At 56.3% G+C, this 19610-nt stretch overlaps 1 protein-coding gene across 5 annotated transcripts in view, besides 2 other annotated features; it reads left to right on the forward strand.

Moving 5' to 3' along the window:
• Positions 1 to 19610, forward strand: part of PLEKHM2 (pleckstrin homology and RUN domain containing M2) — a 53264-nt gene that overhangs the window by 32514 nt on the left and 1140 nt on the right. For 2 of the 5 annotated variants that reach the window (XM_017000757.1, NM_015164.4), the window contains exons 2-19: positions 2218 to 2324; positions 2688 to 2797; positions 3874 to 3973; positions 4519 to 4606; positions 5715 to 5901; positions 7310 to 7369; positions 11298 to 11526; positions 12995 to 13813; positions 14060 to 14129; positions 14248 to 14338; positions 14650 to 14714; positions 15083 to 15171; positions 15778 to 15910; positions 16513 to 16703; positions 17173 to 17238; positions 17870 to 18029; positions 18331 to 18510; positions 18593 to 18709. In XM_017000757.1, the coding sequence (XP_016856246.1) occupies positions 2218 to 2324; positions 2688 to 2797; positions 3874 to 3973; positions 4519 to 4606; positions 5715 to 5901; positions 7310 to 7369; positions 11298 to 11526; positions 12995 to 13813; positions 14060 to 14129; positions 14248 to 14338; positions 14650 to 14714; positions 15083 to 15171; positions 15778 to 15910; positions 16513 to 16703; positions 17173 to 17238; positions 17870 to 18029; positions 18331 to 18510; positions 18593 to 18709 (2862 nt within the window). Of the gene's footprint in view, positions 1 to 2217; positions 2325 to 2687; positions 2798 to 3873; positions 3974 to 4518; positions 4607 to 5714; positions 5902 to 6317; positions 6469 to 7309; positions 7370 to 11297; positions 11527 to 12994; positions 13814 to 14059; positions 14130 to 14247; positions 14339 to 14649; positions 14715 to 15082; positions 15172 to 15777; positions 15911 to 16512; positions 16704 to 17172; positions 17239 to 17869; positions 18030 to 18330; positions 18511 to 18592; positions 18710 to 19610 lie in introns of those variants that run through there. The other 3 variants (XM_017000758.1, NM_001410755.1, XM_005245791.5) reach the window with 2 other exon arrangements.
• Positions 10509 to 10785: a silencer, noted in NCBI's record as "fragment chr1:16051023-16051299 (GRCh37/hg19 assembly coordinates)". NCBI's record gives its function as "represses an EF-1alpha promoter that drives an FKBP-Casp9 reporter gene in an ReSE screen in phorbol 12-myristate 13-acetate-treated (for megakaryocytic differentiation) K562 erythroleukemia cells {active_cell/tissue: K562(+PMA)}" and the evidence as "EXISTENCE:reporter gene assay evidence [ECO:0000049][PMID:32094911]".
• Positions 11305 to 11825: an enhancer, noted in NCBI's record as "H3K4me1 hESC enhancer chr1:16051819-16052339 (GRCh37/hg19 assembly coordinates)". NCBI's record gives its function as "activates a minimal SCP1, AML or CMV promoter by ChIP-STARR-seq in primed H9 embryonic stem cells {active_cell/tissue: H9 hESC(primed)}" and the evidence as "EXISTENCE:reporter gene assay evidence [ECO:0000049][PMID:30033119]".

Below are 19610 nucleotides of genomic sequence, written 5' to 3' on the forward strand. Positions count from 1 at the left end.
CAACCTCTGCTTCCTGAGTTCAAGCAATTCTCCTTCCTCAGCCTCCTGAGTAGCTGGGATTACAGGTGCCTGTCACCGCACCCAGCTAGTTGTTGTATTTTAGTAGAGAACGAGGTTTCACCATCTTGGCCAGGCTGGTCTTGAACTCCTGACCTCGTGATCCACCCGCCTTGGCTTCCCGAAGTGCTGGGATTACAGGTGTGAGCCACCACACCCGGCCCTGTTTTGGTTTTTTAATTAGAACATTGCACTAGATCTCTAAGGATGCTTCCAGCTGTAACATCTGTCTATAGGCTCTCTGATCTCAGATTTACTCAGATTTTGAAATTAAAAAAAAAAAAAAAAAAAAAGCTCTACCCCAGTGTGGTCGTACTTAATACTGAAGTGTGCAGTAATGTTTCCAGCTGTTGCTGAGAGGGATTATGCAGTTTTTGCAGGCTTATTCCTCTTTCTTTCAGCTCTAGAAATCTTTCCTTCTGGTGCTCTGATTTGCCTGCCTCTGGGAGGAAGGGAAGGGAAGACCCTGCAGGACTGAGGTTTGTCCTGGCTGACAGGCCTGCCAGGCTTGTTCCGGGCTGCAGAGAAGAGAGGCTATTTTTGTTGTGGGAGCTGAATTGTTGGTCTCTCTCCAGGAGCACATGCTTGTTGGTGTGGTTGATGTATCTTGCCTGCTGTGGCCATCTCTACCACTGCTTCCAGAAAACACTTGAGAATACGTTTGTCCCAAGAGGTTAAACCTGAGATCAGGATCAGGCATCTGTGCTCTTGTCTTGTGTTCCACTCCCTTCTGGCCATTGGAAGGGCAGTAGCAGAACAGGATATGGCTAACATGAACTTGGAGAGACTTTTCTCCTAGAGCTGTGCTTGAAAGGGGCCCTCTCTCTGTAACTGCGGTTGCAGTGAACTCAGTCCAATATCTGGGCTTTCTTGTCCTTCAGTAGGCTGATGGAGCTGCCCTTGCCCTCACCAGCCTGGTGGGGTTTGCACAGTGCTGCAGTTCATCTCACCTACTGTCCAAATCTCCTTTTATCAGCCCAGTCCAGGAACAGTGGTGTCCTTCTTGGTGTAGGGCTTAACGTGAGCCTTGCATGCACCTAGATCCATATCCAGCATTGCAGGCAATTCTAGTATTCCATGTCAAGAAGGCTGGCAAGAAGGCTGGTGGGGCAGGTGCCCCAGTCCATCGGCCCTTAGTATATGCAGAGGGTAGCTCCAAGTGGGGCCACTGTGATATGAAGGAGGATTGTTTGAATTCAGGAGATTGAGGCTGCAGCGAGCCGTGATCACACCACTGCACTCCAGCCTGCATGACAGAGTGAGACCCTGTCTCAAAACAAACAGGCCGGGCACAGTGGCTCACGCCTGTAATCGCAGCACTTTGGGAGGCCAAAGTGGGTGGATCACCTGAGGTCAGGAGCTTGAGACCAGCCTGGCCAACATGGCGAAACCTCGTCTCTACTAAAGATAAAAAATTAGCTGGGCATGGTGGTGGGCACCTGTAATCCCAGCTACTCGGGAGGCTGAGGCAGGAGAATCACTTGAACCCAGGAGGCGGAGGCTGCAGTGAGCCGAGATCATGCCACTGCCCTCCAGCCTGGGCGACAGAACAAGACTTTGTCTCAATAAAACAAACAACCAAAAAGAAAAGAAAAAAGATACTTTTCTAATATATGACTGGGAAAAATGGGAAACTATAAAGGAAAAGATGGACAGATTTGACTGCCTAAAAATTAAAACTTTCTCAATAGGGCAAAACAATAACATAAGCAAAGTTTAAAGGTCTGTTGACAATGGGAGGAAAATACGTCTAGCGCTCTCTGTATCAATGCCCCAACTCTGGGTTTGTGTGGCATTGGTCTAGACAGCACTGTACATAGTGCCCCTGAAGTTGTGCCATGCTGTGGCCCTGGCCTGAAGCTTGCCACCACTTGAGACCTATGCATGGACAGTGGATCCCTCCAGCCTCAAGTTGTCACTGTGCGGACTGCTGACTGGGTGCCTCTGGGGGACTGGGCTGTAAAGATACAGCTGTTGCCTGCTGGAACCTCCAGTGCCAGAGCAGCAGCTGGGACAGGGGTGGTTTGAGGTAGACGTCTCTGCTGGTCATTGTGGATACACCATTTGACTAATTTTTTTTAGCTACCTTCTTGATTCCAGAACTTTTGTAGCCTTCCTCTTAATCCATTTCTGATTTGGAGGTGTTTTTTTTTCTTTCAGTTGCAGAGCTATTTTGCTGCATGTGAGGATGAGATCCCTGCCATCCGGAACCATGACAAGGTCCTACAGCGTCTGTGTGAGCACCTGGACCACGCCCTGCTGTACGGGTAAGGTGGAGGAAGTTTCCAAAGATGACGGAGCACAACCCAGGCCATGAGTAGCCTCCACAGAGAAACCCTTAGCCTCTCTGCCTTTTCTTTCTTCTCTCCCCTTGGCAGAAAGGGATTTGTCCCACTCAAGTGGGCCACAGTCTCTCTGTAGTTACCCCAGTAAATCATCTCTGGGCAGACATAAATGATGGAGGGAGGATTTGCCACAAATGATATGATGGTGTGAAGGTGTGCTGGGTGCCTGGGAGACCTGCTGGGGATCCATCACTTCCTGCCTTGCGCTCACTGCTGGACCAGCCGACTGCAGCTTCCCAGGGTGGCCCCATGCAGGTCACAGCAGCTCCTGTCCTGTTTTCTCAGACTGCAAGACCTCTCCTCTGGCTACTGGGTGCTCGTGGTGCATTTTACTCGGAGAGAGGCCATCAAGCAGATCGAGGTGCTGCAGCACGTGGCCACCAACCTGGGGCGCAGTGAGTAGTCACAAGGAGACGCTGGGGAAGGGACCAGCTCCACCTTCGGTGGGTAGCTTGGGGCTCTGTCCCAGGTTTACCCTCAGGGTCAGCCCTGGGAGGCAAATTACCTGGTGGTGTCCAGTAGCAGTGGGGTGTTAAAATGCCAGCACCAGGCCAGGCATGGTGGCTCACACCTGTAATCCCAGCATTTTGGGAGGCTGAGGAGGGAGGATGGCTTGAGGCCAGGAGTTTAGACCAGCCTGGGCAACACAGTGAGACCCCATCTCTACAAAAATTTAAATATTACATGGATGTCTTGGTACACACCTATAGTCCCAGCTACTCAGGGGCTGAGGTGGGAGGATGGCTTGAGCCCCGGAGTTTGAGGCTGCAGTGAGGCATGACCACAGCATTGCACTCCAGCCTGGAAGAAAGAGTGAGACCCCATCTCTAAAGATTTAGGAAAATGGCCGGGCACAGTGGCTCATGCCTGTAATTCCAACACTTTGGGAGGGTAAGGCAGGAGGATCCCTTGAGCCCAGGAATTTAAGGCTGTATTGAGCTGTGATCACACCACTATACTCCAGCCTGGGTGACAGAGTCTCTGTCTCAAAAAATAAAATAATAGTAATAAATAATAAATTTATAAAATGCCAGCCCCCTCCATGAGGCCTCTTTTCTCCCCACATATGATGGTTTTTTGGCACAGCAGTGATGGGGAGAAAGAGGGCGAGCTGCCAGCGAGAGCTGGACTCTTATGGAATCCCAGCCTGAGCACGTGCTATGGAGTCTGGTTTCTCTCCCTGAGCTGGGATCACTGTTAGCCTACAGGATCAGTGCAGAGTCCTGGCGTTTCTTGACCTGTCTGAAGTGTGCAGTCTGCCCTCTTTATCAGAATTTCCTGGCCAGCTACATGCTGAGGTCTGACTAGGAAAATAAAGCACTCAGGGGTTATGGTACCCCACCAAGCACAAAGGCCACTGAAGTGCCTGGTCCCATTACCTGCTCTTTCTTTCCTTTCTGCGCTTGCTTGGCAAATAAAAGCCAGCAGTCTGAGAGGCCTTCCTGCCGGTTACTCCTGCCTTTGTTTGCAGGCCGTGCCTGGCTGTACCTGGCCCTCAACGAGAACTCCTTGGAGAGCTACCTGCGGTTGTTCCAGGAGAACCTGGGCCTGCTGCATAAGTACTACGTCAAGTGAGTGTCTGGGACGGTCTGTCTCCCCTAGCCTCAGAGCTCCCTTTCAGCTACCTCCCAAAGGCTCTTGTCATGCAGACAGCACAGTGTGCCACATCAGTGATGCCAGAGAGCCATTAGAACCTTGCCAGTAGCTGGGTAGCCTTCACCAGGAGCACCGGTGTCCCATCTGGGCTCCTGGGTACAGTCTGGGTCTCTGCTGCTCCCTGGTCCTCCTCCCAGGCTTCAGACCTGACCAGTGCCCATGCTTTGGCTCAGCCTTTGCTGGGGTTGCTGCAGGAACAGAGTGTGTACAGCAGCTGCTGAGAGCCTGACAAGCCTTGTGCTCGTCCATCTCTGAAGACACTGGCAGGACAGTGCAGTGTGGCTGCTAACCCAGTAGGAGATCGCTGAGAGGGTGGTGGGCAACAGCTATATCAAGCTGGGTGCCGTCCAAGGTGGAGGACATCACGTGTCAGATTTCAACACAGCTGGTATGTTGGTAAGGTTAGGCCAGGCTGGTAAACAGACCCAGAGGCACCATCGTGGCTTCTCATGTCTTGCAGGAATGCCCTGGTCTGCAGCCACGATCACCTGACGCTCTTCCTGACCTTGGTGTCCGGGCTAGAGTTCATTCGTTTCGAGCTGGATCTGGTGAGACACCAGGGCTCTCACTGCTTGTGGGAAGCAGAGGAGGGGGCAGGGTGGGGGCAGGGTGGGCGGTGGCTTCATTTCTCAGGTCTTGTTGAGGGAGCTTGTTGAGTATGACTGGGCTTGAGCAAAACTTGTTTTTTTGGGCGAGGGAAAGGTTTCAGGGTCCATCGAATTGAGTGAGAAGAGAAGTGATGGCAAGAATTCCTGGTTCAGGTGACTTTTTCCTATCTCCCTATCCAACTTGGAGAAAAGCCACATTGCCTGGAGTATCTTAGCCCAGAAGAACTGGCCTTCATGTTTAGGATGTGAAGAGTTAGAAGGACAAGGCAGTTTCAGCCTGGTGCTTCTGGGGTTCTGAAAAGTGTCATCAGCTCCATGAAGAGCCTTCAGCCACCCTCTTCAAGTTCTCAAGTTTCTCTCCCCATCACACCCTGTACAAATGGGATGCTGGCCCACATAGAGCCAAAGAGGCTCCCAGGCACCTCTTGGACTGGGCTCAAAATGGATGCAGCTGCCCCGTCCTAATCAAATGACCTTCCTTGGGCCAGGCGCAGTGGCTCACACCTATAATCCCAGCACTTTGGGAGGCTGAGGTGGGTGGATCACCTGAGGTCAGGAGTTCGAGACCAGCCTGGCCAACATGGCGAAACCTCGTCTCTACTAAAAAAATACAAAAGTTAGCGGGGTGTGGTGATGGGCGCCTATAATCTCAGCTACTTGGGAGGCTGAGGCAGGAGAATCGCTCGAACCCGGGAGGTGGAAGTTGCAGTGAGCCGAGCCACGTCATTGCACTCCAGCCAGGGCAACAGAGTGAGACTCTGTCTCAAAAAAAAAAATAAATAAATAGAGAGAGAGAGAGATAGCGGGGGCATCAAAGGGTGTAGCTGAGTTCTGACAGCTCTGTCTTCCATCAGCCTGAAGTCCACAGCTTTAAAAGCCAACACTATTCACATTGCTCTTCTTAGCAGCTTTTCTTTGAATTTACTACCTTAAGCCATTGATTTCCCAAAGAGGCACATCTGTGTCTCCCAGGCCTGGATCCTGCTGTCTGCAGAAGGCCGCTGCACGAGGCCTCCCACCAAACGGGCCTCCTCTACTCTCTCCTCAGGATGCCCCTTACCTAGACCTGGCCCCCTACATGCCCGACTACTACAAACCTCAGTACCTGCTGGACTTTGAAGACCGCCTTCCCAGCTCGGTCCACGGCTCAGACAGTCTGTCCCTCAACTCTTTCAACTCCGTCACCTCCACCAACCTGGAGTGGGATGACAGTGCGATTGCCCCATCTAGTGAGGGTGAGTGGCCCCAGGGCAGAAAAGCTAAGCCCCTGTTGTGAAACAGACTTGAACTGCTTAAGCCTGGCTGGGTGATGTCTTCCTTGGCTAGTTTTGGTCTGGTGGCTGAAATTTGCAATTAAACAGGGCTGGCCATTTCCCAGATCTTCATCTCCTCAGAGTCCCTGTGGTGGCTAAAAAGTGGATTCTGGGCACAAAAAGCTGAAATTATATATATATATATATATATAAAATATATATTTTTTAAGGTTAGACCCTTTTCCAGAAGGTTCTAGTCACATGCCTGTGGCAGTTTTCTAAGCAAGGAAGGTTTAGCAGTGGGACCTGGAAACCTTGTCGCAGGGTTGAGTGTTGCCTGTTCTGGGGAGCTTGTCTGACCCCACATTCTTTGCAGAAGGAGGTTAAGCAACCCCTAGAAGAAGAGAGAACCAGGCAGGTCTGAAGCGCAGGGAAACCTTGCCACTGTGTCCTGTGTGTCCGTCCGATTTCTCTGAGTTCCTTCTGCGCTCGCTGATGTGTTTGGGATGGTCGCACCCTTTGCATCAGGGACCGAGGAAGAAGCTGCAGGTCATTTTGTTGTCTTGACCCAATGATTTACTGGAACAGCCTGGTTTCTTTCAAACCTTAGGCCCTGGTGTTCATGGATAAAACTGGCCATTTTCCCCTCTTTATCTCCTGTAGGAGACCAGAGCCCTTCATTTACTTCACCCCACCACCTCACCTCCAGGGAAGGGGATCCCAGCCCCAATTTAGCCCTGGGGCACCCTAGAATTGCCTCAGCATTGAGACCTTGACCTTCCCCTTTCTTTATTTCTGCTGTACCACGGGTTATATGTCCCAGGAAGGGAGGTCCCTCTCAAACTTGCTGTTAGCAAGACCTGCATTGCTGACCGTGCAAGCTGAAGAAGGCGGCACAGTCTCCTTAGGTTGGGCCCATGGGCCACCTTAGAGGAGTTGGAGGGGTGGGCCTTGCCGGAAGAGCCAGGGCAAGGATGGATCCATGGATGGAGGTGTCCCCTCAGCAATTTGGAGATTGTGCAACTGCAGCTGCCAGGGCAGTGTCTCCTTGCCCTGCTAGGGTATGGAGGGAAGGCACGTAAGAGGTAGAAAACAAAGCTAGGCACAGGCAGCCAGGCTTCTCTCTGCCAGAACCAGCTTCTGGATGTGGAAAGGGGTCACCCTGACAGGTCTTTCCAGCTGGTTGGAGGCTCCTGGGCCAGCGCCTGAGCTGAGAGGCAGTCAGGGCCCTAGTAAGTTTCCCCAAGGTTGTTGGATACAATGTAGAAAGTTGAAGTTTTCCTCTCCTATTTTCTCCCCATGTCTCCCACCCCATTTCCCCTCCCCTCCCTCCAGTCATCCTTCCACTGCCTGTGTTTCTAATCTTCAGTTTTGTCCCTCGTTTTTGTAGATTATGATTTTGGAGATGTGTTTCCAGCAGTGCCGTCTGTACCCAGCACAGACTGGGAAGGTGGGCCAGAGTCCGCTGTTACCCTCTTTTCCTGTTTTGCAATGTTTCCATGCCAAGCTTGCTGCATGTATCAAATCAGCTCCTTATTATTTATAATAATATCCATAATCATAATAAAGCCAAGTTTGGTGTTCTAATAGATGGAATTCTGCAGTGGGAAAACTCAACCTCTAGCCATAGGCAAATCCCTTCTCCCAGTGCAGGGCTCCTGCCTTTGCTCAGTGGCCTTTCGGAGTCACTAAGTGGCTGCATTTCGGGGGATACAGGGTCACCCTTCCTGATTCCAGTGCCAGCTGATGCTCTCGGGGTGTGTAGGGCCTGACCCAGTGAACCAAGACTTGTTCTGGAAAACCATGCCTTTAAACATGCGGGTTGTAAGCTCCTGCGGGTCAGATGAGCATCGAAGAGAAAGAGCTTGATTCTTTCAGTCTGTTCCTAATGGCTTCCTCTTGGGTGTTTTGGAGTGGTTGAGGTCCAAGTCAGGAAACTGCCCAGGTACAGCTGAAACTTCCTACAGACAGAATCTCTTTGAAGCTTTAAAGCAGATTAAAAGGAAATCTGCCAGCCCTCCCACCCTGTCTGCTGGGCAGTAGCAGTGCCTGGGCATTTTTCTGCCTGAAATTCCACTTCATAAATTCACAAAGCTATTCCCAGGTTGCCACGATTACTCAAAGCAAAGGCTATGTTGCCAATAAGGTGAATGTTTCCCCCTTAAATCTGAGGCCATAGCAGATCCCTGTTATTTTACTTTATGTTATTTTATTTTACTTTTTGAGACGGAGTCTCGCTCTGTTGCTCAGGCTGGAGTGCAGTGGTGTGATCTTGGCTTACTGTAACCTCCACCTCCCGGGTTCAAGCAATTCTCCTGCCTCAGCCTCCCAAGTAGCTGGGATTACAGGTGTGTGCCACCACGCCCGGCTAATTTTTGTATTTTTAGTAGAGACAGGGTTTCACCATGTTGGCCAGGCTGGTCTCAAACTCCTGACCTCAGGTGATCCACCCCACCTCATCCTCTCAAAGTGTGGGATTACAGGCATGAACCACTGCACCTGGTCCAAATCCCTGTTATTAAAGAGCCTCCTACCCTCTGGGCCACTTCCAGCCTGGAACAGGGGAGGTGAGGGAACCTGGCCTCTGAACAGGGGAGGTGAGAACTGCCACACCCTGAGGATGAGGGGCACGTGGCTCTCCCCGCATTATTAGAGACGTGATTGCTGAGTAATGGGTGACAGGTGATCCGTTCCCAGATAATGTGAGTATGAAATACCTTAACTCTGTGAGAAATAAGATGTGGCATTGGGAAAAATAAACTATGACACTTGGCCAAGAGTAGCATTGAAGGGTCCCCTGTTTGAGTTAAATTAGCTTGGATTCCAGAATTCCATCATAACATCATGTACCCTCTTAGCCCCTCTTCTTGCAGCACACATGCTGGATATTGTTTTTTTTTCCCTCCGATTCTAACAACTAACCCCCCTCCTGACACGCCTGCTGCAGTCACTTGACAAGCAGGGCCTGACCTTCCTCTACAGCCTTTCAGAGCTCCCTGCGGCCTGAGAACTAACAGCCCAGTTGCACTGCTTGCCTCAGGGCAGGGTGAGATTTCTGGAGTTCCTGGAGCAGGATTCCTGAGCTCACTCTGGCAGCTCACCCGGGGAGGCTCTGTCTTCTCCTTGGACCTGGAGGAAGGCAGGACTTGGGGCAGCTCCAAACTCTGAGCCTGGGGTGGCCTTCCCCTGGTCTTTGGCTTATTTACAGAGCTGGTGGGCATGCGGGCCTTGACACCCACCACATCTCATGATCTGCCCACTCACCTCTCAGGGCTCCTCTTGGGTGCAACTGCGTGTGCTGAGGAGAATCACAGGAGCCGGAGCAAGAACACATGGGCTTGGCAGGAGCCTGCTTTGGGACCGAGAGACGCGGTTTTCTGTATCTTAGAACTTAGGCTCTGAGATCCCCGGAAATCTGGAAAAAGTCCCCGATGTTGCTGGTCTTTTCTGGCAGAGCTACTCATTGCCTTTAGCCTCCTCTTTTGTCCTTATATTAAAAGACAGCAGACTTAAAAAAAAAAAAAAAGGGCCAGGCTCACACCTGTAATCCCAGCACTTTGAGAGGCTGAGGCTGGAGGATCGCCTGAGCCCAGGAGTTTGAGACCAACCTGGGCAACACAGGGGGACCCCGTCTCTACTAAAAATATAAAAATTAGCCAGGCTTGGTGGTGCACGCCTATAGTCCCAGCTACTCTGTGGGCTGAGGCAGGGCAGGAGGATCACTTGAACCCAGGAGGTCGAGGCTACAGTGAGCTGTGATTGCGCCACTGCGCTCCAGTCCGAGCGACACAGCGAGACCCTGTCTCAAAAAAAAAAAAAAAAAAAAAAAAAGGACGGTGTGCTGCATCAGCAGACAGCTGCCCTGTGGCTTCCAAGGGCACTAAGTTGACAGCTGGTTGGGCCCCCAGTGGGGCTGTGGGGTGCATGTTTGCCTCTTTTCTTCCGGGCAGACAGCGGCCAGCAAGATGAGCATTGGCCGGCAAATAGAGCACGACCAGCCATGGCCCTTGCCATTGACCCTCACCCAGGCAGTTTCACCAGCTGGGCCTCAGCTCTCTGCTTGGGTGGCTCCCATCTGCCACTGGCCGTATGGGCTGTGTGCTTCACCTGCCCGTGCTCCCTCTCCTGCCCTGTTCCAGTAACCAGGGGCAGATGGCTGGGTGGGGCGGGATGTCCAAGCCAGCTCCCCTCTCGGGGGCCGTGTCAGGGTATGAGTCAGAAAGGACCAGTCAGTGAGCTGACACTTGAATGAAATGGAGTTCTCGGCCGGGCACGGTGGCTCACGCCTGTAATCCCAGCATTTTGGGAGGCCGAGGCGGGCAGATCACGAGGTCAGGAGATCGAGACCATCCTGGCCAACATGGTGAAACCCCAGCTCTACTAAAAATACAAAAATTAGCTGGGCATGGTGGCGCATGCCTGTAATCCTAGCTACTCGGGAGGCTAAGGCAGGAGAATCACTTGAACCCGGGAGTTGGAGGTTGTAGTGAGCCGGGCTCGCGCCACTGCGCTTCAGCCTGGCGACAGAGAGAGACTCCGTCTCAAAAAAAAAAAAAAAGAAAGAAATGGAGTTCTCAGCACCACCCTTGCAGGGGCACCTGGTCCTGCCCCCGAGGAGTGTGTAGGGTCAGGGGTGCTGGGGAGAAGCAGCCTGGGGGGCGGCCTCTCGGACCCCTGTCTTTGCCCCTTCGCACCTTGCTCTCATTGCCCTGCTCTGTCATCTTGTCTCTACTCTGTGCTCTGGGCATTTCCCTCTGCCCCATGGTTCCCACCCCTTGGGCTCCCATCCTGTCTCCTAGCCTCTGCCCCCACTCTGCACCCCTCACTTTCTCTGCTGTCTTCCTCCATTCTTCTCCCTTTGTGTTCCTTTTACCTCTGCAAGGGACCCTTCAGAGGACTTTGGGCACCTCTCAGCCCTACAAGTGGGGTATGGGGCTAACGGGGCTGCTGGGTACCCCTGTAGCGTCCTGGCAGGAAGGCTCTGAGGGTAACCTAAGAGGCGTGCAGCCTGGCTCCTCTCTAGGGCTCCCAGCCACCCATGGAGGCCTCGAAGTCACCATTCCTATGGGACTTAAGCCTGGAGCTTGAGCCTGGAGGCTGCTTCACCGCGGGGGCCCTTAACACAAACTCAGCCAAATTGTTGTGAGCTCCGGAGGCCCCAGGGGTGGTGGAGATGGTGTTCCTTCCAAGTTGCTCCTAAAGTACAAAACCCCATGTCCTGTTAGGTTGTGGCTTCTACTCGAAATGGGGCCACCCCTGTCAGGTTTCCCTGGGAGGAACTGGCCAGCCTGCCTCCCTCCTGGGCTAACGCATGCTCTGGGGGTCGGGGACCCCGGGGGGTGCCTGACAGGGTGTCTCCTGCTTCCTTGTCCTCCCAGATGGAGACCTCACAGACACGGTCAGTGGTCCCCGCTCCACAGCCTCCGACCTGACCAGCAGCAAGGCCTCCACCAGGAGCCCCACCCAGCGCCAGAACCCCTTCAACGAGGAGCCGGCAGAGACTGTGTCCTCCTCTGACACCACCCCCGTGCACACCACCTCTCAGGAGAAGGAGGAGGCCCAGGCCCTGGACCCGCCGGATGCCTGCACGGAGCTCGAGGTCATCAGGTCAGCAGGGAGGGGCCCAGAAAGGAGCTGAGGTCCTGGGGTCCAACCTGTCCACTCCCAGCATCAGCTGTTCATCCAGGGCAGACCGGGACACCCCCTGAGGGCAGTTGCATGCCTTCCTGGAAACCCTTCCCACCTCTAGGAGGTTCTTTGAGCAAGAGGAAGTGGAGGCCTGTCCTAGTCAGCTCGGCTGCTGGAACAAAGCACCGCAGACAGGCGGCTTCCACAACAGACATTCTTTCTCACAGCTCTGGAGCCTACAGTCCGAGGTCAGGGTGCCGGTGTGGCCAGCCTCTGATGAGGGATTCACAGATGTCCCTCTTCTCGCTGTGTTGTGGCGGGGAGTGGAGAGAGAGCTCTCTAGGGTCCCTTTTATGAGGGTGCTGATCCCATTCCTGAGGATCCCACCCTCAGGACCTCATCACCCCCCACCCCCTGATACCATCACATTGGGAGTTAGGATTTCAACACAGGAATCTGGAGGGGACACACACATTCACTCCATTGTAGGGCTCAAGCCCTTGGAAGCAGGTGGCACAGGCAGCGACCGTGGCTGGTGTCTGGGGCCATGTCCAGGCTGCCAGGGCGTTTGCTGGGTCTGCCTAAGATCAGAAAGCACCTTCAGGCTGTACTTCTTCCCAAGGGAGTTCTTGGAAGTTAAGATACAATTTCTGAGATTCATTGAAAGAAAAGTATCTTTGTCATATGGGCAGGACATGGAAAGGAAGGACATGGTGGGTGGCCAGCAGGGACTGTCAACCAGAGCCTCCCCGGCTCCCTGACCTCCCCGACCCCCTCTTAAAACTTCACACTGACTAAGAGGAGAAGCCCTGTGTGCGTGTCAGACTGCCCAGGCTTGCTGGCCTGAGGCGGGGGATTGCTCCCCAGTGACTGGAGCCAGGAGGCCACCCCATGGGCTGGTTCCAGTCCACAGCAGCATCATGCTCAGACCTGGGGTCCCTTAGCTAAGCCCGCTCCAGCCAACCTGGAACCAGAGTGGGACCCGGAGCGTGAGCCCAGAAAGCGCTGAGTGCTTTCTGGGTGATTCCTCCATGATGATGCCTGAGGGAAGTGAGGTCAGCTCGGGATCCACATCCGAAGGGGGGCTGAGTGGAGGGGGCATTGCCTGACCAGCCATGGCCTGTTTTTCTTTCCTAGAGTGCAGCTAGCTCAGCTGTTCCATTAGGAGGAATTCAGTAGACCCACTCTGGGGTTCCTCTGGCTGCAGCCATCTGTGCCCAGCCCATGCTACCCCCACCCCGCCCCTGCCAGCAAAGGGGGTGCCTCGGGGCCTGAGCCACTGTTGTCCTCTGACCCAGTGCCTCCACCCAGCACTGCCTAGGACCACTGACGCACTAGCTGTGCCCTCAGAGGCTACATGGCCAGCATTGCCACCGTGACCCAGCCTGGTTTTCCTCAGCACTGGACTACTCAGGGGTTAACACTCTCCCCGTCGTTACTGTCCCAGGGTCACCAAGAAGAAGAAAATTGGCAAGAAGAAAAAGAGCAGATCAGATGAGGAGGCAAGTCCACTCCACCCCGCCTGCAGCCAGAAGAAATGTGCCAAGCAGGGGGACGGTGACAGCCGCAACGGCAGCCCAAGCCTTGGGCGGGACTCGCCAGACACTATGCTTGCCTCCCCCCAGGAGGAGGGAGAGGGGCCGAGCAGCACCACGGAGAGCAGCGAGCGCTCCGAGCCGGGCCTGCTGATCCCTGAGATGAAGGACACCTCCATGGAGCGCTTGGGGCAGCCCCTGAGCAAGGTTATCGACCAGCTCAACGGGCAGCTGGACCCCAGCACCTGGTGCTCCCGTGCTGAGCCCCCAGACCAGTCCTTTCGGACCGGCTCTCCCGGGGATGCCCCGGAGAGGCCGCCGCTTTGCGACTTTAGTGAGGGGCTTTCAGCCCCAATGGACTTCTACCGCTTTACCGTCGAGAGTCCAAGCACTGTTACATCAGGTGGCGGCCACCATGACCCTGCAGGGCTTGGCCAACCGCTGCATGTTCCTAGTAGCCCTGAGGCTGCTGGCCAAGAAGAAGAGGGAGGAGGAGGAGAGGGACAGACGCCTCGGCCCCTAGAGGATACCACGAGGGAGGCTCAGGAGCTGGAGGCCCAGCTGTCCCTGGTCAGGGAGGGGCCTGTGTCTGAGCCAGAGCCTGGGACCCAGGAGGTTCTCTGCCAGCTCAAGCGAGACCAGCCCAGCCCGTGTCTGAGTAGCGCTGAGGATTCTGGGGTGGATGAGGGACAGGGGAGCCCTTCGGAGATGGTCCATTCCTCGGAGTTCAGGTAACAAGACTCTGCAGCTGGCATGGGACTCTCCCAGCCCTTGAAGCTGGGGACACTGTGCCTCTGACCTCCAGATAAATTAAGCACTAGGAAGACCTAGCCTGAGTGAGAAGGGGTGTGAGCCTCCCTCCCTAACTTTGGCTCCTAGTGGGAGGCGGAGGCACTACCCCCTGGCTCTGGGGTGGGGTGTGGCCTCTCTCACCGCTGCCTGCCTGACATCTCGCCCTCCTGACTTGGCCCTCACAGAGTAGACAACAATCACCTGCTCCTGCTCATGATCCACGTGTTCCGAGAAAACGAAGAGCAGCTGTTCAAAGTAAGTCCTAGGAACTCAGGAGTGAGCAAGAGACGGCAAGGGCAAGGCGGGATGGGCCACCGCCCCCGCTGGAGCGGCAGGAGCCACCTGCCTGACCCTTGTCTGCTTCGGCCCCCAGATGATCCGGATGAGCACCGGGCACATGGAGGGCAACCTGCAGCTGCTGTACGTGCTGCTCACAGACTGCTATGTCTACCTGCTCCGGAAAGGTGCCCGCCGCCCCCGGGCAGACAGCGGGTTGTAGACGAGGCTGACTCTCAGCCCCTTTTCCCCAGTCCCCTTGCCCTCTGAGTGCCTCCCGGCTGCCTGGCATGCAGTGATGGAAAGGCACCCCAAGGAAGGTGTTGCCAGCAGCCCTGAGACGTGAGCCTGGGGCTCCCTCTGTGAGCACTCCACGCCATTCTCCTACTGCAGGGCAAGGAGAGGCCCTCTAAGAGAGGGGGCTGTGTCTAAGAAAATGGGGCAGGGGGAGGGAAAAGAGGCCTGTGGGGATAATAGGCCTTGGGGTTTCCTCTCTCAGGGGCCACAGAGAAGCCATACCTGGTGGAAGAGGCCGTTTCTTACAATGAACTTGACTATGTGTCGGTGAGTCCAGGCCCCGCAGTTGTGCGCCTGCTGTAGGTACAGGGCTTCTCAAGCCACTTACCCATAGAACTGCAGGGCGAGGCACGGCCCCTTACTCCCCTCCCGGGGTTGGGCACCAACTTAACTCTCAGAGAGGCTTCTGTACACGATGCTGGGGGTAAGAACCAAGCTTGAGGTTGCCTCTTCCCGTGCTAGACTTCTGACCGTCCCTCCCTCACTCATGCCAGCCCCTGGCCTCTGGGGCTTTACTTGGTGGTGGCCCGGGGTGTGCTTCTTCCTCCCCAGCAAGCGCTCAGCCTGGCCAAGCTGCCTTCTCCGCCAGGCAGCAGCTAAGCCCCAAGTGCATGTCACGGTGTGGTTTCTGGCAGGTTGGCCTTGACCAGCAGACGGTGAAGCTGGTGTGCACCAACCGCAGGAAGCAGTTTCTGCTGGACACGGCTGATGTGGCGCTGGCTGAGTGAGTGGCAACCCCGCCCCTCTGGAAGGATTGGAGAGTTCGCAGCCGCCCATAGGTGTGGGTGGCCTGGGGGTCAGGGGTGGAGGTGGAAAGTGGGAGATCCAGGAGGGGAAACCAGATGTATTCCCTCTGGAACCTGCATCTGCTCAGAGAGGCAGGCAAGTAGACGACAATCATAGGACTCATGTGGTCAGCCCAGGTGACCTCAGCCCCTGGCGACTCTTGGGGGTGCTAGCATGAGTTGTTGGACAGGAAGGCAGGCAGAGAGCCATGCTGCTGGGCCAGGCGTGCCCTTGAACGCCTGCATCCTTGTCGTGGCTCAAGGTCCCACCCGTTGACGTCCTGCCCACCCTCTTTGTCTGTCTTCCCTCACTGTCAAAATCCAAGGCCCCTTGGCCATTGAGAACGATCAGGCCTGTTCCAGTTGTCATTTGATGACCTTGGACCTGCGTCATTGCCGCACCTGCCGCCCTGGTCACTGGGTCTAGCCAGGTCTCTCCCCCAAGTTTCTGTGACCCCTCCAGGCCAGCAGCGCTCAAGACTAAGCCCTGTCCAGTTGAGGCCCTGTTCCCAGGCCTCTAACCACAAACCTCACTCCCTATGCAGGTTCTTTTTGGCTTCTTTGAAGTCAGCCATGATCAAAGGCTGTCGAGAACCTCCCTACCCCAGCATCCTGACGGATGCCACCATGGAGAAGCTGGCACTGGCCAAATTTGTGGCCCAAGAATCGAAGTGTGAGGTAAGAACCTGGGGAGGAAGCTGAGTGCAGCCCCTGAGATGGCAGAGCAGCAGCCGCCTTGGCGTGAGCGTTAAGGGATGCACGTGGATGTCTTTGCCATTTCACAATCGCCTACCTGGGCGGGGCGGGGCGGGGCGGGGCGGGGCGGGGCTTTCCCACCCTGGAAGGGAGGAAAGTCATGTCCACCTTCCTACCTGGGGTGTGTCCTAAGGTTAAGACACCCTCGCTCGGCAGGGCACAGTGGCTCACGCCTGTAATCCCAGCACTTTGGGAGGCCAAGGCAGGCGGATCACCTGAGGTCAGGAGTTCGAGACCCGCCTCGCCAACATGGCAAAACCCCGTCTCTACTAAAAATACAAAAATTCAGCCAGGCGTGGTGATGGGCGCCTGTAATCCCAGCTACTTGGGAGGCTGAGGCAGGAGAATTGCTTGAACCTGGAAGATGGAGGTTGCAGTGAGTGGAGATCACACCACTGCAGTCCAGCCTGGGCGACAGAGCGAGACTCCATCTCAAAAAGAAAAAAAAAGAACCAGTCCGGGCTCAGCCACCTGCCTGGCCCAGGCCTTACTTGCTTTGTCCCCCGTGCCCGCCCCCGCATCAGGCATCTGCTGTCACCGTGCGCTTCTACGGCCTTGTGCACTGGGAGGACCCCACAGACGAGTCCCTGGGCCCCACGCCCTGCCACTGCTCACCCCCCGAGGGCACCATCACCAAAGAAGGCATGCTGCACTACAAGGCGGGCACCTCCTACCTGGGCAAGGAACACTGGAAGACGTGCTTCGTGGTGCTCAGGTGGGAGCCCTGGCAGCTCTAGGCCTGGGGCTTGGGCCCTGGGGTGGCTGGGCTGTCAGGTCCCCAGCGGGGATCTCTCCGCAGCAGGTCACTGAGGGAGCAGCCTGAGGAGAGGACGCCTCCCTTCCCTACCAGAGCTTGGAGTTGACTTAGCTCAGGCTGTTAGAGCTTCTCTGTAGAGCCAGTCATCTTTGGGGCCCCAGGAATCCCTGAGTGCCTCAGGGGAGGATGCAGGCTTGGTCCCCCGATGAACCTTGAGCTGCGCCCCAGGTCTGCTGAGGTGGCCACATTCCCTGCTGGGCCCCCAGGCCCTTCTTCACCCTGCCTTCCGTAGATGACAGCCCCTGGTGTCCTTTGCCTCAGGTTCATGGCCGCAGCATGTGCGTGGGAGGGGAACCCTGGGACCTGGGCTCCGCCTGGCCCCAGTTCCTGGGACAGGCCTCACTCGCCCTGTGTTGTGCCCCTGCAGCAACGGGATCCTCTACCAGTACCCGGACCGCACCGACGTCATCCCTCTGCTCTCGGTGAACATGGGGTAAGTGTCCCGGGAGAAGCGGGTGTATCCTGGGGCCCAGAGCTGCCGTTTCCCTGGTTTGAGATGGCTGCCCCTGTTGGCAGTTCAGCCTCGCCCTCAACCCCACCCCATCCAGCGGCCCTGACAGGTGGCCTGGGGCTTCCACGCTCTGAGGGCTGCAAGGAGCCCACAGGAGGGGAGGAGGGAGGCAGCAAGGAGCTCCTGGCTTAGAACAGGTCCAGTCTGATGGGGGAGGCAGGCCCTTCCCCAGAAGCTCCCGGCCTGATGGGAGATGGACGTTCGGGTATTTGGGAGGAACAGCAGGCCCTCAAGAGGAAGCATGCGTGAATGAATGCGGCCGATTCTCAGAGGGCCAGTGGGACAGCTGATTCCCAACCCCTCCTGGCCATGCTTGGGTATCTAGAGGATCTTGGGCATCCTGGAGGTGAAAGGCATCGCACAGCAAGGCGGTGGGTGGGGCTCCCAGACCTCTCCTGGGAGCTGGAGGGGCCTGGAGAACCCTCTGGTATCCTCCAGCCCCCAAGACGGTGGGGCAGACCCTGTGCCGCACACCCCGCACCAACCCTGGGGGCTGTCGCCCCGTGCTGCCCTTGCCTCCTCGCTCCCGTTTCACCCTCCTCCTCTGGCCCAGGGGGGAGCAGTGCGGTGGCTGCCGGAGAGCCAACACCACGGATCGGCCCCACGCCTTCCAGGTCATTCTCTCCGACCGGCCCTGCCTGGAGCTAAGTGCCGAGAGCGAGGCCGAGATGGCCGAGTGGATGCAGCATCTCTGCCAGGCTGTGTCCAAAGGGGTGAGCTTCGCCTGCCCCTACCGCTCACCTGGCTTGCCTGACCCACCCAGACCCCCAGGGTCCCATCCCTAAACCCATAGTCACAGAGCAACCTGAGGGCCAAGACGGACCTCCAGGGGGCAGCCCAGGAATGGACCCTGGAGCTCAGAGGCATCACCCCCATCCCCGCCTCTGCTCCCGATCCCTGGAGGGAGATCCCTGGAGGGAGAGCAGAAGGGCTGGCTGGTCCCCTGGAGTGTGGACTTCTGGTGCAGACCAGCCCTGGAGGCCCCAGCCTGCCTCTCCCCTGCCCCGCTGCCAGGTCATCCCCCAGGGCGTAGCTCCCAGCCCCTGCATACCCTGCTGCCTGGTCCTCACGGATGACCGCCTCTTTACGTGCCATGAGGATTGCCAGACCAGCTTCTTCCGCTCTTTGGGCACAGCCAAGCTGGGCGACATCAGCGCCGTCTCCACCGAGCCGGGCAAGGAGTACTGCGTCTTGGTGAGCTTTGAGTGGGGGCGGGGCTGCAAGGCCTGCAGAAGGAAAGCTCTGGCTGCTCACCCGGGGGCCTGGCTCTCCCTAGGAGTTCTCCCAGGACAGCCAGCAGCTCCTCCCGCCCTGGGTCATCTACCTGAGCTGCACTTCTGAACTGGACCGATTGCTGTCTGCACTGAACTCTGGGTGGAAAACCATCTATCAGGTACCCAGCTGCCCAGGAAACCCATTAGCCAGGGACCCTGTGGAGTGGGAGCCACTCCCCGGGGAGAGGAACCCCTGCTGCTCCCAGGACTTGGCCCTGCCTCCAGGGTCCTGGGCACAGCCATGTACCAGGGCGCTCCTGCCTCAGCCCCGGGGGTGAGTGCCTGCTGCTCTTAAAACAAACCCAGAAGAGTCCTCACTGTCCTTGCCGTCTCTTGCTGCGCACAAGCCTGCCAGGCTGGGAGCCCGAGGCCCTCAAGCCACTCAGCATTGCTGCCTCAAGGGCCTGGGAGGGAAGGGGTGGGCCCTGGGAGGTGGGTGTGGGACTCCAGCCCCGGTGGTTCTGCCTCTGGTTTGGACTGGGCCTTGGGTGATTGAGGGTGGCCTGGCAGGAGAGAGCTGTCTGGGGGCAGAGGCCAAGGTGGGCATGTTGGTGCCAGCCCCAGACTGAGCAGACACACCTGACAGGCACAAAAACTTAGAATCAAAAGGACAAAACCCTGACTCCCAGTGAGTCTGAGGCCAAAGCTGAAAACAGAACCCAAGAAGCTTAATTCCTGACCTCAGTTCCAATCAAACAGCACGAATTGTGGTGGACCTCCAGCTGTGCTCAGATGGGGGGACACAATATTGGCAGTACCCTCTTCCTTGCCCTCCAGGCTGAGTGCCAGTGTGGGAGCGTGCTCATGAGAGCCCTGCACAAGCGGGTTTTGAGCACATGCTACGCTCTAGCCCCGTGGAAGCCTGGACTAGTTAGAGGCAGAGAACAGCTCAGGACAGACACCTCCCTGCAGAGCCAAACAGAGTGCAGCGCCTGCCTCGCTGGGCCATCCTGAGAGCTGGGGCCTTCCCAGGAAAGAGGGAGCTCGGGGGGCACCACCCCATCCTCAGCTCAAGCCCCT

The sequence above is a fragment of the Homo sapiens genome, chromosome 1 (assembly GCF_000001405.40).
Source record: "Homo sapiens chromosome 1, GRCh38.p14 Primary Assembly".
NCBI lineage: Eukaryota > Metazoa > Chordata > Mammalia > Primates > Hominidae > Homo > Homo sapiens.